This window comes from Homo sapiens, chromosome X (genome assembly GCF_000001405.40).
Source record: "Homo sapiens chromosome X, GRCh38.p14 Primary Assembly".
Taxonomy (NCBI): Eukaryota; Metazoa; Chordata; class Mammalia; order Primates; family Hominidae; genus Homo; species Homo sapiens.
The window spans coordinates 21,603,144-21,616,883 of NC_000023.11; the positions used below are offsets into that span (position 1 = coordinate 21,603,144).

At 36.7% G+C, this 13,740-nt stretch overlaps 1 protein-coding gene across 8 annotated transcripts in view; it reads left to right on the forward strand.

The window, feature by feature from the left end:
- The window catches only part of CNKSR2 (connector enhancer of kinase suppressor of Ras 2), a 280,272-nt gene that overhangs the window by 228,726 nt on the left and 37,806 nt on the right, over positions 1–13,740 (forward strand). For all 8 annotated transcript variants that reach the window (NM_014927.5, NM_001168647.3, NM_001330770.2 and 5 more), the window contains 2 exons: positions 3,636–3,736; positions 5,928–6,474. In NM_014927.5, coding sequence (NP_055742.2) covers positions 3,636–3,736; positions 5,928–6,474 — 648 coding nt within the window. The remainder of the gene's footprint in view (positions 1–3,635; positions 3,737–5,927; positions 6,475–13,740) is intronic.

The following is a 13,740-nucleotide window of genomic DNA, read 5'->3' on the forward strand; positions in this document are numbered from 1 at the left end:
TAAGTAGAGAATCATAGGCAGAAGCTAGTAGTTACAATTTAATGCAACAAGAATCTTGCTAATGCAATACAACCAGAATCTCTGAAATAATTTTGATTTCCACATAGAATGCATGTTCCTCAGTCACTTTATCATAGGTCAGAAACATATTAGACTTCTTACCTCCTGAATGATTAGGTTGCATGGTATTCCATGTAGAAAACTACTAGATGCACATATCTACTTCACCCTTCTGTAGAGTTATTTGAGTAGAGTTATATCTTCTGAGTACCATTCTAAGTAATGAAGATAAGCTTAATACAAAATATAGCTCTTTGAGGACTGGGAATGTTTCTCCACAATGGAGGGACATAGCTGCCAGATACTGTTTCCATCTAAATAGCCAGTATAGCTTAGAAGTGACTCTTTCATTGACTTAAATAAAAATTTAGTGAATTGCTGTCTTTGATTACAGAAGTATAAAAGATGTGGGGTTCTCTTTCAACATCCGTTGTTGTACTTAGAGAAAACAGAGTTACACTTAATTCAGCTGCCAAGATAGCAATTTGGCTAATTGTCTACTGATCATTTTTGTATTTTTTCCAGCTTCAAGACAGACATTCATGACATTATTTTCAGTCACACATAAGGTCTTTTTAAAGCCTTAATCACACACAAAAATGAATGAAATATATTGTATTTCTTCGACAGTTCTAAATGAAAAAGTCTTTTTTTTTTCAAATTATCCTTTTGTGTCAACATGAGAAAATAAAGTAGAAGTTTTCCTCTTCTAGTGTTGGCACTGCTTTTTCATGATTGCTTATAAAATTGCGTATCATTGAAAGAGACATTAAAAGTATCCATTTAATTTGTGCTATATAGACAGCTAAGAAAAATAAATTAATTTGCCATTAGAATAAAAATCAGACTAGTTTTCATCCTCTAAGCAACAGTGTGTCTCTAATTTTCCACACAAACCCAAAAGAGCCTAACTGAAATTTCTATGTAGCCTCTTCTCTGTCATTGCTCTCTCAAAGACACACAGCTTAGTGTAAGAAAAAAAATTAATTTGCAAAGTAGTATTTCAGCCTTTTCTTAGGCAACCCAAGAAAACTTTGGATTGACGATGATTGAATTGAACAATGAGAACACTTGGACAGTGGAAGGGGAACATCACACACCGGGGCCTGCTGTGGAGTGGGGGGAGGGGGAAGGGATAGCACTAGGAGATATACCTAATGTAAATGACAAGTTAATGGGTGCAGCACACCAACATGGCACATGTATACATATGTAACAAACCTGCACGTTGTGCACATGTACCCTAGAACTTAAAGTATAATAAAAAATATATATATAAAAAACAAGAATTCCATCAAATAGTGGGACTAAAATTCTTCCTAATTTAACTGGAAGGAAAAAGTAGAGAAGGAGCCTTCCAAAATCTGTCACTTGTAGTGACAGCTATGGAACCCTTGATAAAATCATGATCATCTCCTTAGTGTGCTAATAAGGACCACTTGAGGTATTAACGCCTTGAAGGCATCAGTGCAAACATCAAGGAGATACTCTGCACAGGTGCCACAGTTCCTGGAAATAGTGGGAAGAATGCTGGCAGGGTGATCTTTCCTTGGCAGGGGCGGGTTTGCTTATTCCATTTACCTACAGGGTGATTTCCCAGTAGTATTTCAAGCTCTCACAAAACTACCAAACCCAGGCCCCAGGACTCCAGATTTTACTTTTCATTGCTGGGCCTTGCTACAAGAAAAACTTTATGTCTAAGAAGAAGAACACCAGGCATTTATTTCTTATGTGATCTAGGTCACACTGTCCTGTCATGCTACTACAAATATACCCAAGAAGATAAGCAGTTCTAATATTTATTGAGTGCTATCAAGATGCAAGGCACTTGAATATGTTTCCTTATTTAGTGCCCACACACACACAACTCTGAAAGGCGGTTATTATTAGACCCCTTTTACAGATAACAAAACAGACTCAGAGAGGTTAAATAACCACCACAAGAGCACCAAGATGGGAAGTGGTCTAGCTAAGATTCGAACCTACACCTGTCTGACTATATAGTTAATGTGTTTTTCCATCAGCATTTGCTGGGTCCGTTTCTGGGCAACTGTGCCAATTCATATTTGAGGGAAAACTTGGTATACTGGCTGTCACTGGCATGAACCAATGGAAAAAAAACAGATATCAAATTAAGATTAACTAGTCTTTGCTTATCTTTTACTCAAAAGGAATAATTAAAGCAGCAATAGAATTTTCAGAGTCTTCGTATTTTGAGGCCTGAATATAGTTGAGAATGTATTTTATTTCCAACTTCCATTGCTGAAGAATTTATGTTCACAATAGCCGGAGGTACATAGCAGGAGGAGATAGGGGGATAAAATGTTCATCAATATACACATCAAACTCTCCTGCTATACTTTACAAAAGAGTCCCAGCAACTTAGTCTCCAGAGCTTTAGGGTAAGGCAGTTTCTTAGTTCAAATCCCAGATCTATTACTTTCTATTTGATATGTAGTAATTTCTTAATGTATGTTAGCTGTAATTATCATTAATATTAATCAGCACTGCAGGGAAACCATATACAAATATTACAATATGGGAATTCGTGGGTGGAGAGGGGTTCCTGTAAATATACGTGCCATGATTGTTCACCTAAATGTGAATATTAGTTAAGCCTTATGATAGTTCTTTTGTGATTTAAATTTTCATAAGAATAAGGAGACTTTTGTTTTAATATGTTTTTTCTTATCATCTGAAATTGATGGATAATACTTCAGGTTTTTTCTTGTAAATCATATAAAGAATAAAACCAGCAGTTACAGGGTGGTTGGAATATTACTGGAACAGATTCCGATTATTAGCCCTTTTGCTGCATTTGACTTACTCTAGTAATTTGAACTTCTCTCTCAGAGTTCTTTCCCCTCCCTCTTGCCTGAGGTCTGCCAAGTCACTTTGTCTAGCTGCTTACATTTGCTACCCTTTTAAGTAGTTCTGGAAGTTTGGAACTTGCAGCCCACATCAGCAGATTTGCCCTTTTGCATTTGGCAAGAATCAGAATTTGCCATGTGTTTCCAAGGAGAGGTGGGAGTATGGTGTTATAGAGATTCATGTCAGCATGAGTCTGGAAACAGTGATTGTTAGATAATCAGTGAACTGAAGCCAGAGAAGAGAATTGAGAGCATTATTTTTAGAGTTGTTTATATCTGTAGAGATCTACAGCAATGTATGTATTGCTTTTCTTTGAATATCTTTAGGATAAAATGATATACCTTTAAGAGGCATCATGTGATGTCATTCATTAACTGAAGCTTCAGAATAATTGGGTCTGAAATCTGAGGTACCCTAAACCTGACTGAGCTCATGCAGTACGTTCTTTTTAACTCTCTAAAATTATGGCTGCATGTAACTGCTTGCTTTAAAAGGATGTTAGAATTAGGTGATTGTACACTTACTTTCTCCTCAAAACTCAACTGAAAATAAAAGTTGGTAGGCCAAGGGTAAGGTAGTGCTGGGGAACATGATGTTGGAACAGAATTTAAATTTCCTTTTTTTAAATGATAGTTTATGTTCGTGAAAATATGACCAGAAACATTTAGTAGAATGTTGACGTATCCATGTCTGTGAATTTTCAGATTACTGGAGTGAGAGTGACAAGGAAGAAGCAGATACTCCATCAACACCAAAACAAGATAGCCCTCCACCCCCATATGATACATACCCACGACCTCCCTCGGTAAGTTAGCAACAAGAACATTACTTATCACCAGATTCTTCTACCTGAAACATCCTTTTGTATGTTAAAAACATATGTAGTAGATTGCATATCAAATTTAAGGTTTCTCAGCGGAAAAGAAAACTGGGAGTCTAAAATCAATAAGCAAATTTTTTTAAGTATACAAAGAATATTTAAGCAGGAAAAACAGTCATTACAGATTCCAGGCAGAATAAATATGTCATCACTTTTATTAACAAAATATACTGTTTGTATGAAGGTAGCCTTCGTGGAGATAATCAACAACAACAAAAAAGTTTTCTTAGAAAAAGGTATATAAAATGACCTTATCTATTCCACACTAATAAAGTGTATTCCTATGTCCTTTAGAATGAACTCATAAAAATTAATATTATATCTATATTGAAGATATTTTTGCATGTAGCTTTTTCAGCAGCCATGGGACCTGGTTTAATGTATATGTTTGTATGGTGTGTCAGACAAATCTCTGTAAATTACTCTGTGTATAGACTGTACTTTGATCTTTTAATAGGGTAAACAGCTGGTTTACTTGGGACTGTCCCACTTTATGGCCCTTTCCCATCAGAATTACCAAGAGTGTCTCAGTAATGTTCCAGTTTAGACAATAATATTCCATGGTCAGGCCGGGCATGGTAGCTCACGCGTCTAATCCCAGCACTTTGGGAGGCCAAGGCGGGCGGATCACTTGAGGTCAGGAGTTCGAAAGCAGCCTGGCCAACATGGTGAAACCCCATCTCTACTAAAAATACAAAAATTAGCCAGGCATGGTGGTGGGCACCTGTAATCCCAGCTACTCGGGAGGCTGAGGCACAAGAATCGCTTGAACTTGGGAGGTGGAGGTTGCAGTGATCCAAGATCACACCACTGCACTCCAGCCTGGGCGACAGAGTGAGACTGTGTCTCAAAATAATAATAATAATAATAATATTCCATGGTCACATTGCCATAAGAAACAATTCTGCCTATCTTGGGACTAAGTCTTCCACATAGGAAATAGAAGCTGGATTTAGGTGACAACAATAGCTAACCTAATTCCATCTCAGTATTACTCCAGGGGGATAATTCATATTTTCTCTCTTTTTCTAAAACGTCAGGATCTGGACAATTTCTTTAAAATATCTATAAAAGAGGAAGAATAGGAAACAGCATCTTCACTGAACAGCTACTTAAACATGGCAATTTGTGAATTTCAAGAAGAAAACTATTCATATTATTATTAACATGTGGGAAGGTAACTGACTGCCCGCAGAGGATGCCAAGTAACTTCTCCTCCTTTACCAGGAGGAGTGGTATGCAGCTTCACCTCAGTCCGGTGTGTCCTGGCTGCCACCTCAGCCCTGTTTGTGATGATCACATTTAACAAATCAGGCTCGACCTGGGCCGGTGTGTTTGTTAGTCCCCAGAGCTAGAGTAAGGCTTGTGGCAGTAGAGGTGCCTGCAACTATTTCACAGTGTTCACTTGATGCCAGTCCTTTTTCTGGTTATGTTTTGTGCTATAACATATAGTCCCAAGCTTTAAATTCCAGGGATAAAAATTTTCCATTTTTCTTTTATATTTATGTGCCCTGCAGTATCTATGCTCAAGGCTAATGGTAATCCCTAGCAATGTATAGTCTCATCCTGCCTAACATTTTTAACCCCATAGAAAGTAAGACCATCAGACAGCTTTTCTCTGGCACCCATAGGAGCAGACATTCTCCTATGAAGAAAAGGAAGGGTTCTTTCTGTTTATAGGCAGCCTATCCTCATATCCAAAAGACTCTCTCCTAGTCCCCAAGCCCAAGCTACATGAAATCAGGAATATGAATCCAGGGACAATACTTCTTCAGGATCTGAAAATGTATAGTTTTTAAAGTGAAATTTTTGTAGTTGCTGAATTTTCTTATGTAAGCACTAACTCTTATACTTGCATTGTTGTAAAATTTTGCATTAATATGTCAGATTTTTCATGAGACCTTGGTATAGCCGCATTCCAATACATCCATGTCTCTGTCTCTTAAAATGTAAGCTGGGGCCTAACTTTGAGATGTCTGCAAACTTGCCTAGTCATTAACATGACTACGTAAGAGTTCATCTACTTAAATATTACCTGGTAGAAACCGAATGTGTTCCTTGGAATGGAAGTGGTCTGTTATTTTGGCACAGACTAATCAGGGGCTCCTTTCTACAGATGAGTTGCGCCAGTCCTTATGTGGAAGCAAAACATAGCCGACTTTCCTCCACGGAGACTTCTCAGTCTCAGTCTTCTCATGAGGAGTTTCGCCAGGAAGTAACTGGGAGCAGTGCAGTGTCTCCCATTCGCAAGACAGCCAGTCAGCGCCGCTCCTGGCAGGATTTAATTGAGACGCCACTGACAAGTTCAGGCTTACACTATCTTCAGACTCTGCCCCTGGAGGATTCTGTCTTCTCTGACTCCGCGGCCATCTCCCCAGAGCACAGGCGGCAGTCTACCCTGCCAACTCAGAAATGCCACCTGCAGGATCACTATGGGCCATACCCCTTAGCTGAGAGTGAGAGGATGCAAGTGCTAAATGGAAATGGGGGCAAGCCTCGAAGTTTTACTCTGCCTCGAGATAGCGGGTTCAACCATTGCTGTCTGAATGCTCCAGTTAGTGCCTGTGACCCACAGGATGACGTGCAACCCCCAGAGGTGGAGGAAGAGGAGGAGGAGGAGGAGGAGGAAGGGGAGGCAGCAGGGGAAAACATAGGAGAAAAAAGTAAGTATGTTTCTGGAGATTCTTAGCCTGTGTACACAAAGTCCTGACCTTTTCAAACTTCTTATTTGAAGAAAATAGAACCTTGCTTCCCTTTTTTCTTAAAATAATAGTATTGCTATATAGTAAGTTAGGTCTCCCTTGGTGACCTACTTTCAGAACTTCAGTAACTTGGGAAAACATGATGAGTAATGAAGCTTATAATCTCAAGATACCCACAGCTGGAGCAAATAATTTTTTTCTCCAACTAGCCATTTGCCTTTTAAGGTTAATGGTGTTTTTGTTTTCTTCCTTCTCTTATCCACTTTATTCTCACTTGCATGCACCATCTCACTGGCCCACAGTGGTTGCCCCCTGAGTTGGGTTAAGAAACTATAAATGTTTCAAGCAGGTTGTTAGCAGAGCCTTGGTTGAATAACTGAGTATACACACACACCCACTCACATCTATACATATACATATTTATCTTCCCTTTTTATTGTCAGAAGATTTAAAGGAAAAATCCAAAAGATAGTTTTTCCAAGGAGAGATTTCACATAGCATTTCTTTCAACTCCAAATAGCTGAATTTGTTTCTAGAAACCAATTTTCCAAAAGCATCCATCTAATTTCTTGGTATGTGTGTTGATCGTAAAGCTCAATTTATGTGAATCAACTCTTATAAGAAAAGTCAATGAAGTAATCCTCTGCCTTGTTGACATTAAGAATATCTTTACTAGTTATTAAGTTCTTTATTCAACATGCCATACCAAGCCTCTGTTTATTACTAACATGACACATCAGTCCAGAAACCCAGGCTGGTTTAAGGGAAAGGCTGTAACTCAGTTATTTTAGTAAGAAAGAAAATCTAGGTTTGGCTACAAGTCCTGAACATAAAATGCACAAAACAAAATATATAGAAGAAATAGTATAAAACTGTTCACATCTCTTTATTCAAAATGCAGTCTGGGCCAATTAGCGCAGATAACTTGAGCAAATGGTGATGAAATCACAGTTACTTGTTTGGTACCCCTAGGGCAATAGACTTCTCTTTTTAAAAAGATGAAAGCAGAGTGTAGCCTTCAGCCCATTTTACAAATATATGGGACTTTGATTACAGAATATATTAGTGTAAGTTCTTCATCACAAATGGAAAAATATCTCAAAGTTCACAGATTACCAACAGGTCAAGAGCCCCATGTCAGTGTCAAGCTTGGCTCATTTAAAATGGTAGTCTCTTTGGAAATGACTGACAAGAAAATACAGTGGACCTCCCTTTATGGTGTGGATCTTCATTGCATTATTTAATATTATCTCATCTACCAACAAAATATAAGAATTGCTTGTAATAAAATTCATATGCTGTGGCAGTTTCCATGTGAAGTATATTTTAGCCATAATCTCCATGAGAAACATTATAAAAGGTACGTTGTTAGTACAGGAAAAGTAATTACCATTCATTACTTGCCAAGCCCTTTCAACATTCACATCTATCAGAGTTTATGGAAGAAATATTTAGGAGCCATGTTAGTCCTCTGCAGGAATTCTGGCAAGCATAATAATAATGTTTAATATTCTAAAGATTACTAAAATTAATAAATTGTCTTCTAAAATTTAAAGATGAGTTAGAAACTTCATTTCAACTGTCATTCAGGTACTACACAACTGCTGTGACTAAGTATGTGAGGTTTATTCTTTTACAAACATTGGAGAAAACACTTTATCTCAGCCATTTTAAGATAAACTGTGTTGAAATTAGGCACAGCCCTCTGAAATAGAGAATTCTGTTCAGAAAACATTTCATCATTCCTACAGGTTAAGTCACTAATGTTGTCTTGTTTTGAATAAGCTAGGCACTTAACAGTTCATCCTGGTCATTGAATAAGGGAAGAGTAGAAAGAAGCAAGCGTGTCCTAAGACATGAAGGGAAAATATGGCACCATGCTTGCTCATTCTTCAGGTTTCCAGTAGTCCACAGAGCACTTCTAGTTAGATAGCTTTCAATTTTTTTCTTCTAGATTATCTTTTTTGTTGTTTAGTGGATTGGATTTTTTAGCCAAATAGATGCACTCCTAAGTTGGTTGGGTTTTTTCTTTACATTTCAGATGAGTTTAGTGGGTAGTTATTCAGTGCTTTCCATCTTTTTCAGTGGGCTCTCTGTAGAATAATTGTTATAAGATAGAACAGACCTAGTAAGTGTGTCAGTAAATTTGGTATTGTACTTTTTGTCTTTATGGTTCAATATTGTGGGATGTTTCGTGCTATTTCAGTCAGATCTGCTTCACTGAAAGTGGCCTTGCACTGTCTTTCAGGCCCCATTTCTTTCTGGGTATTTTTTCCATAAATCTTGCCACTTGATTTCTCCGTGTACTTCAAACTGTTCGTAACAGAGTAGTGCATTCATCCTTTCCTGGAAGATGCTTATTATTCAATGAAATGTATGTTTGTTCTAATGATGGTTTTCTGCATTGCTATTTCTAATATTTAGGAGTGGGCAATTTGATGAACACCTTATTCAGGAAACATCAGCTTTAAAAACCAGTGTTTTCAAAAGAATCTTTAAGGTCTAGTTATGGGATGTCATGTTCATGGCTTCCCTGGATTGACCATTAGGAGTAAGTACTCAGGCTGCTTGTTCAAATCAAGCTGTCTGGTGTTATGTCAGCAGAGCAAAAATTATACACGGAAACGAAGCTGTGGCCATTACATCAGCCTTAACGTCCTGTACATGTCCTCCAACACAGAGCGCTTACTGTGCTGCCACACAGTTCAGCAGGCAACCTGTGCTTTTAAAAATCAAAGTCCAACAGCAGTGTGTTACTTACTGTCCTGCTCCAGGCCAGCATTCAGTTTGACCTCCTGAAGTGAATTGTAGTCATCAAGTACAGAACTGCAGAGGAAATAAGTTTAATGTCTAGTTCCAAACGTTTTTCTCAGTTTGCCAAGAAATTAAAAATAGGAAGTATCAGGTGGCCAAAAGAAATAATGGAAGAAAACATGAAAATATAGTCTGTCATATGCTTTAAGGGTGAAGAATTATGTCATCAACCAAACCTCTTTCTTATCATTTACGTTTTATCTTACCTTATATCACAATATATGTTATATAGTGCTTATGAGCTTACAGAGCAATCTAAGAAGCAAGATATACCTAAATCCATGCCTTAGCTGTTTTTCATTTTCCTTATGGGTATGGAATTTGGCCCTGCTTATAAAGTATATATTTAGCCTTCCTTAGAACAGACTTCAATCTGTGTTCTCGTAGTTGAACTACCTTTTGCCTTATTTTGAAATTCAATTATTTAACTGAGTCATACTGTGATTTTCTTAGGCTGAACTCATTTTAGTCTGAAATGGATGGTACTAAAAGTACACAAATGAGACCTGTCTTGTTTTCCTTTGACTGAAAAGTCAGCTTGCATATTAATTGTCTTGACCTGCTTCACTGACATTTGAGAAAAGACAAGTAATTTCCTGTTATCCCAATTAGCAGTTTCAAACCTTACCTGGTATGGACATTATAAGACATCAGCTAAATTAACTTACAAATTATGTCATTCTATGCACCTTTAAAGGAATATAAATTATGAAAGTATGGGACAAAATATGAAGATATATTTCATTCAGAAATAATCTGCCATAACATTAAAATACTATTTTGGTTAATACAGCTTGAAGTCAGCTTAGAAAATCTCGCTTTCCTTTGCCGTATGTACTAGCCAATTCAGATGAGGTTTTGAAAACCATTATCCCTTAATCCTGCTGATTTTCCCCTAAGCAATTATAAGGGAACTCTCCTGGACTCTTGATGCCTTCATTTACTCGGTGAAGTCATGATGTCCTTTATCATTGTCTTGAAGATTACCTACCAGTATTCTCACTTAATTTACACGTATATGTAGCTTGGGCTTAGAAATCTAAAGCAAAACCTAGGTCTTTTAAGGGGGAATAAAATCTATTACCTTGGAGCCACTGTACACATTAGATTATCAGGCTGAAATATTATTGACACTTTCAAAATGAGATCTGCTGAGAAATATATTTTAAGGTTATTTTTAAAAATCTAGACTGAGTTTTGTGGCTCACGCCTGTAATCCCAGCACTTTGGGAGGCCAAGGCGGAGGATCACTTGAGGTCAGGAATTTGAAACCAGCCTGGCCAACATGGCAAAACCCTGTCTCTACGAAAAATACAAAAATTAGCCAGGCGTGGTGGCACATACCTGTAATCCCAGCTACTAGGTGGCTGAGACGGGAGAATTGCTTGAACCCGGGAGGTGGAGGTTGCAGTGAGCCAAGATCATGCCACTGCACTCCAGCCTGGATGACAGAGCAAGACTCTGTCTCCAAAAAAAAAAAAAAGAAAGAAAGAAAAAAAATTAGCCGGTCTTATAACCTGCTCTATAAATAAACAAAATAAATAAATAAATAAGTAAAAAATCTAACATTCTTTGTACACTATTAATAACTTAGGAGCTGTGTAGAATATGCCACTCAGTAGCCTAAAATCTTAAATTATTAGGGCATAGGGGCTAGATTATGAGTACAAATACAGAGCAGAAGATACATTAATTCTTGTCAATCATTTTAAGGGTCCTATCTTCATTTCCTGAAGATTTTCTAAAGGTCATGAATTCTATTTTTAAGAACATTAAAGTAGGAGATATGTAGACAAGGAGAAGGTATTCCCAGAATATGAAATTGTATTGAAGGAAGAAAAGGAACAAGTTGAAAATAAAAATGTTGCAACACTTCTCACTTTTTTATTATCAAGATAAATTATATACACACACAAATAATTTTAAAGAGCATAATCATCATTAATATCTTAAGTTATAGTTCATGTCTAAAGGGAGTAGATGGAGAAGGATATACACAGTGTGAAGAAAAAGACATGATAAAGTCAAAGAAAAAATGGCAGAGAACCTTAACTATATCACTTTTGTAAAGTTGAGCACACCATCCTTGGCTGATTATATAACAAATATGTATTTAAAAAAAACAGAAAAACCTAGAAAGTAGTGAGAAAATTATTTTAATATATTGTCTGATTTTGAAGAAATACTGTTAGGGAGACATAAAACACTGAAGATTAGCTATAATTCTGATACTGGTTATAGGTTAGATTTTTAATTACACCTCCATTTTTTGGCTAAAAAAATGAGAGAAAGTTATTAACTTACAGGAAGTTCAGAGGTGGGGTTGTTCTGGGGTGAATTTCATGGCTTACCAATGTCAGGACTCTCCATTCATTTTTCTGTAATGCAAGAGCTCCAAGCATCATTTCTCATGAGACAGCATTCAAAAAGCCAAAGACCAGGCCCTATCTTTAGTCCTTTCTATAAGACCAAGGGAAACTTTCCATGGATCCTTCCAGCAGACTTATACCCAGATTTCATTGCCAAGGTTGCATCACATGTGCATGCCTAAACAAATGACAAGGGAAATGGAATGATATGAACAGTTTAGACTAACCTTGATTTGTTTTTATGGTGATGAGAAAGAGAAATGTGCAAAACTGCTTATCATTACTTTCTGCATGAGCAGCTCTATTACTGTGTATGTTTTGTCTTCAAATTATATTTGTTCAAGCAGTGTTTCACTTTTTAAATATATATATGCACATGCATAGCCCAGATCACATCACCTTACTTAAAAATTTTGGCTCTATTGAAATGTTAGATATATAAATGAAGTAATAAGTATTATGTAACCCTGAAAATGTAGCAAGTTTGATATAATTATTGTTGCTCATGGAATGAATAAGCATGTTTTCCTATAGACAATAAGTAATCCTAGCTTAGAATACAGTCTCTGGAGATATTCCTCAGTTCAAATCCTTGCTTTGTCACTGTCCCACTTACAACTGGTATGATTGATCAAGTTATTTAACACCTCTAGACCTCAATGTCTTCATTGTCAAATCATATGGTAATAATACCTAGCTTTTGAGGTTGTGTGAGTATTCAATGAAGTGATGTCAGAAAGCACCTTAGATCCATATGTGACACATTATAAGTCTGTCCAGTAAATGTTATATAGATTTTATATAATTATATAGGTTTTATATTTGTTTCATTTATAGATTGATATAATTATATAGATTTTATGTAGATTTGTATTAAGGCAAAGCGGGCAATTACAATACTTAAATAGTGAATTAGGCCTGGCAAACCTCATTAAGTAATGTTTACTACATGTCCTATCTTTGTTCAGTTCTAGCCATTGAGTTGAACCATACGAAATGTTGCTTTTGTAGGTCAAAATGATGAAACATTAGCAATTTTGTGTGTTTCAACCTAACATATTAGCTGCGTTCTAGGAGTAAAATAGAAATGTTCCTCATTTCACATTCCTATCACTCACTACTCCTTTCCTTTTTGACTTTGGACATTTGGGAACTCAAAAGAAACCTTGCATTCCAAATAGCAATAATTGTATCAGATATATTTACTGAAATGTTTATTTATAGATCTTGTCATTTGGGTCTCATTTCAAATATTTTCCCCTCAGAGATCCTTTCCTGACAACCCAGTCTGACCCAGATGCCCACCACCACCATTCATCCTCTTGTATGGTTACCCTGTTTTATATTTTTCCCAGCTTTATCACTAGGAGTATAATATTAAATATTGTTCACAGATTTATTTTCCATCCCTACTACCAGAATTTAAGCTTCTTAAGAGCAGGGATTTTATTCCTGTCTTATAGCACCTAAAACAGTATATGGCCCATAGTAGCCCAGGCACTATTGAAAGAATGAATGAGTGAATGAATGAGTAATAGCTAACCCCTTTTGTTACTAACTTCCTTTCAATTTTATTATTTATAGAGCTAAAGTTATTTTATCCAACATATGACATAAAACAAATCAAAACATCGCAGAATTCCTCATTTTTGGTATTTTGTCAAGGAAAAGCCAGGACTACATGTGTTCAGCATACCCTCTTTATGCTGGAGACCACAAAGCTGGGATGCTGATAACTAGAATTACTGCTCCTCACATTATGGCTGTTTTATGGTCACATTCTCTATGATTGAAACCATTTCCTCCTGTTTCACTGCCATTTCAAAAATGAAGGCCACAAAAATATGACATCTGAAATAACTAGTTCATTGTCATAAATCAGTTAGAAACCAGATCTTCCAGCTCTCTTAGGCAGTTGTTCTTCCCACCAAAATCCACTGCCTGTAGAAGGAAGGAAAACTCAAATCACTGCCAGTGCTTGGTTAACACTCCTAGTCGTCCATTACCTAGCTTCATCTTAATTAGTTTGTAAAAAGTGTTGAAA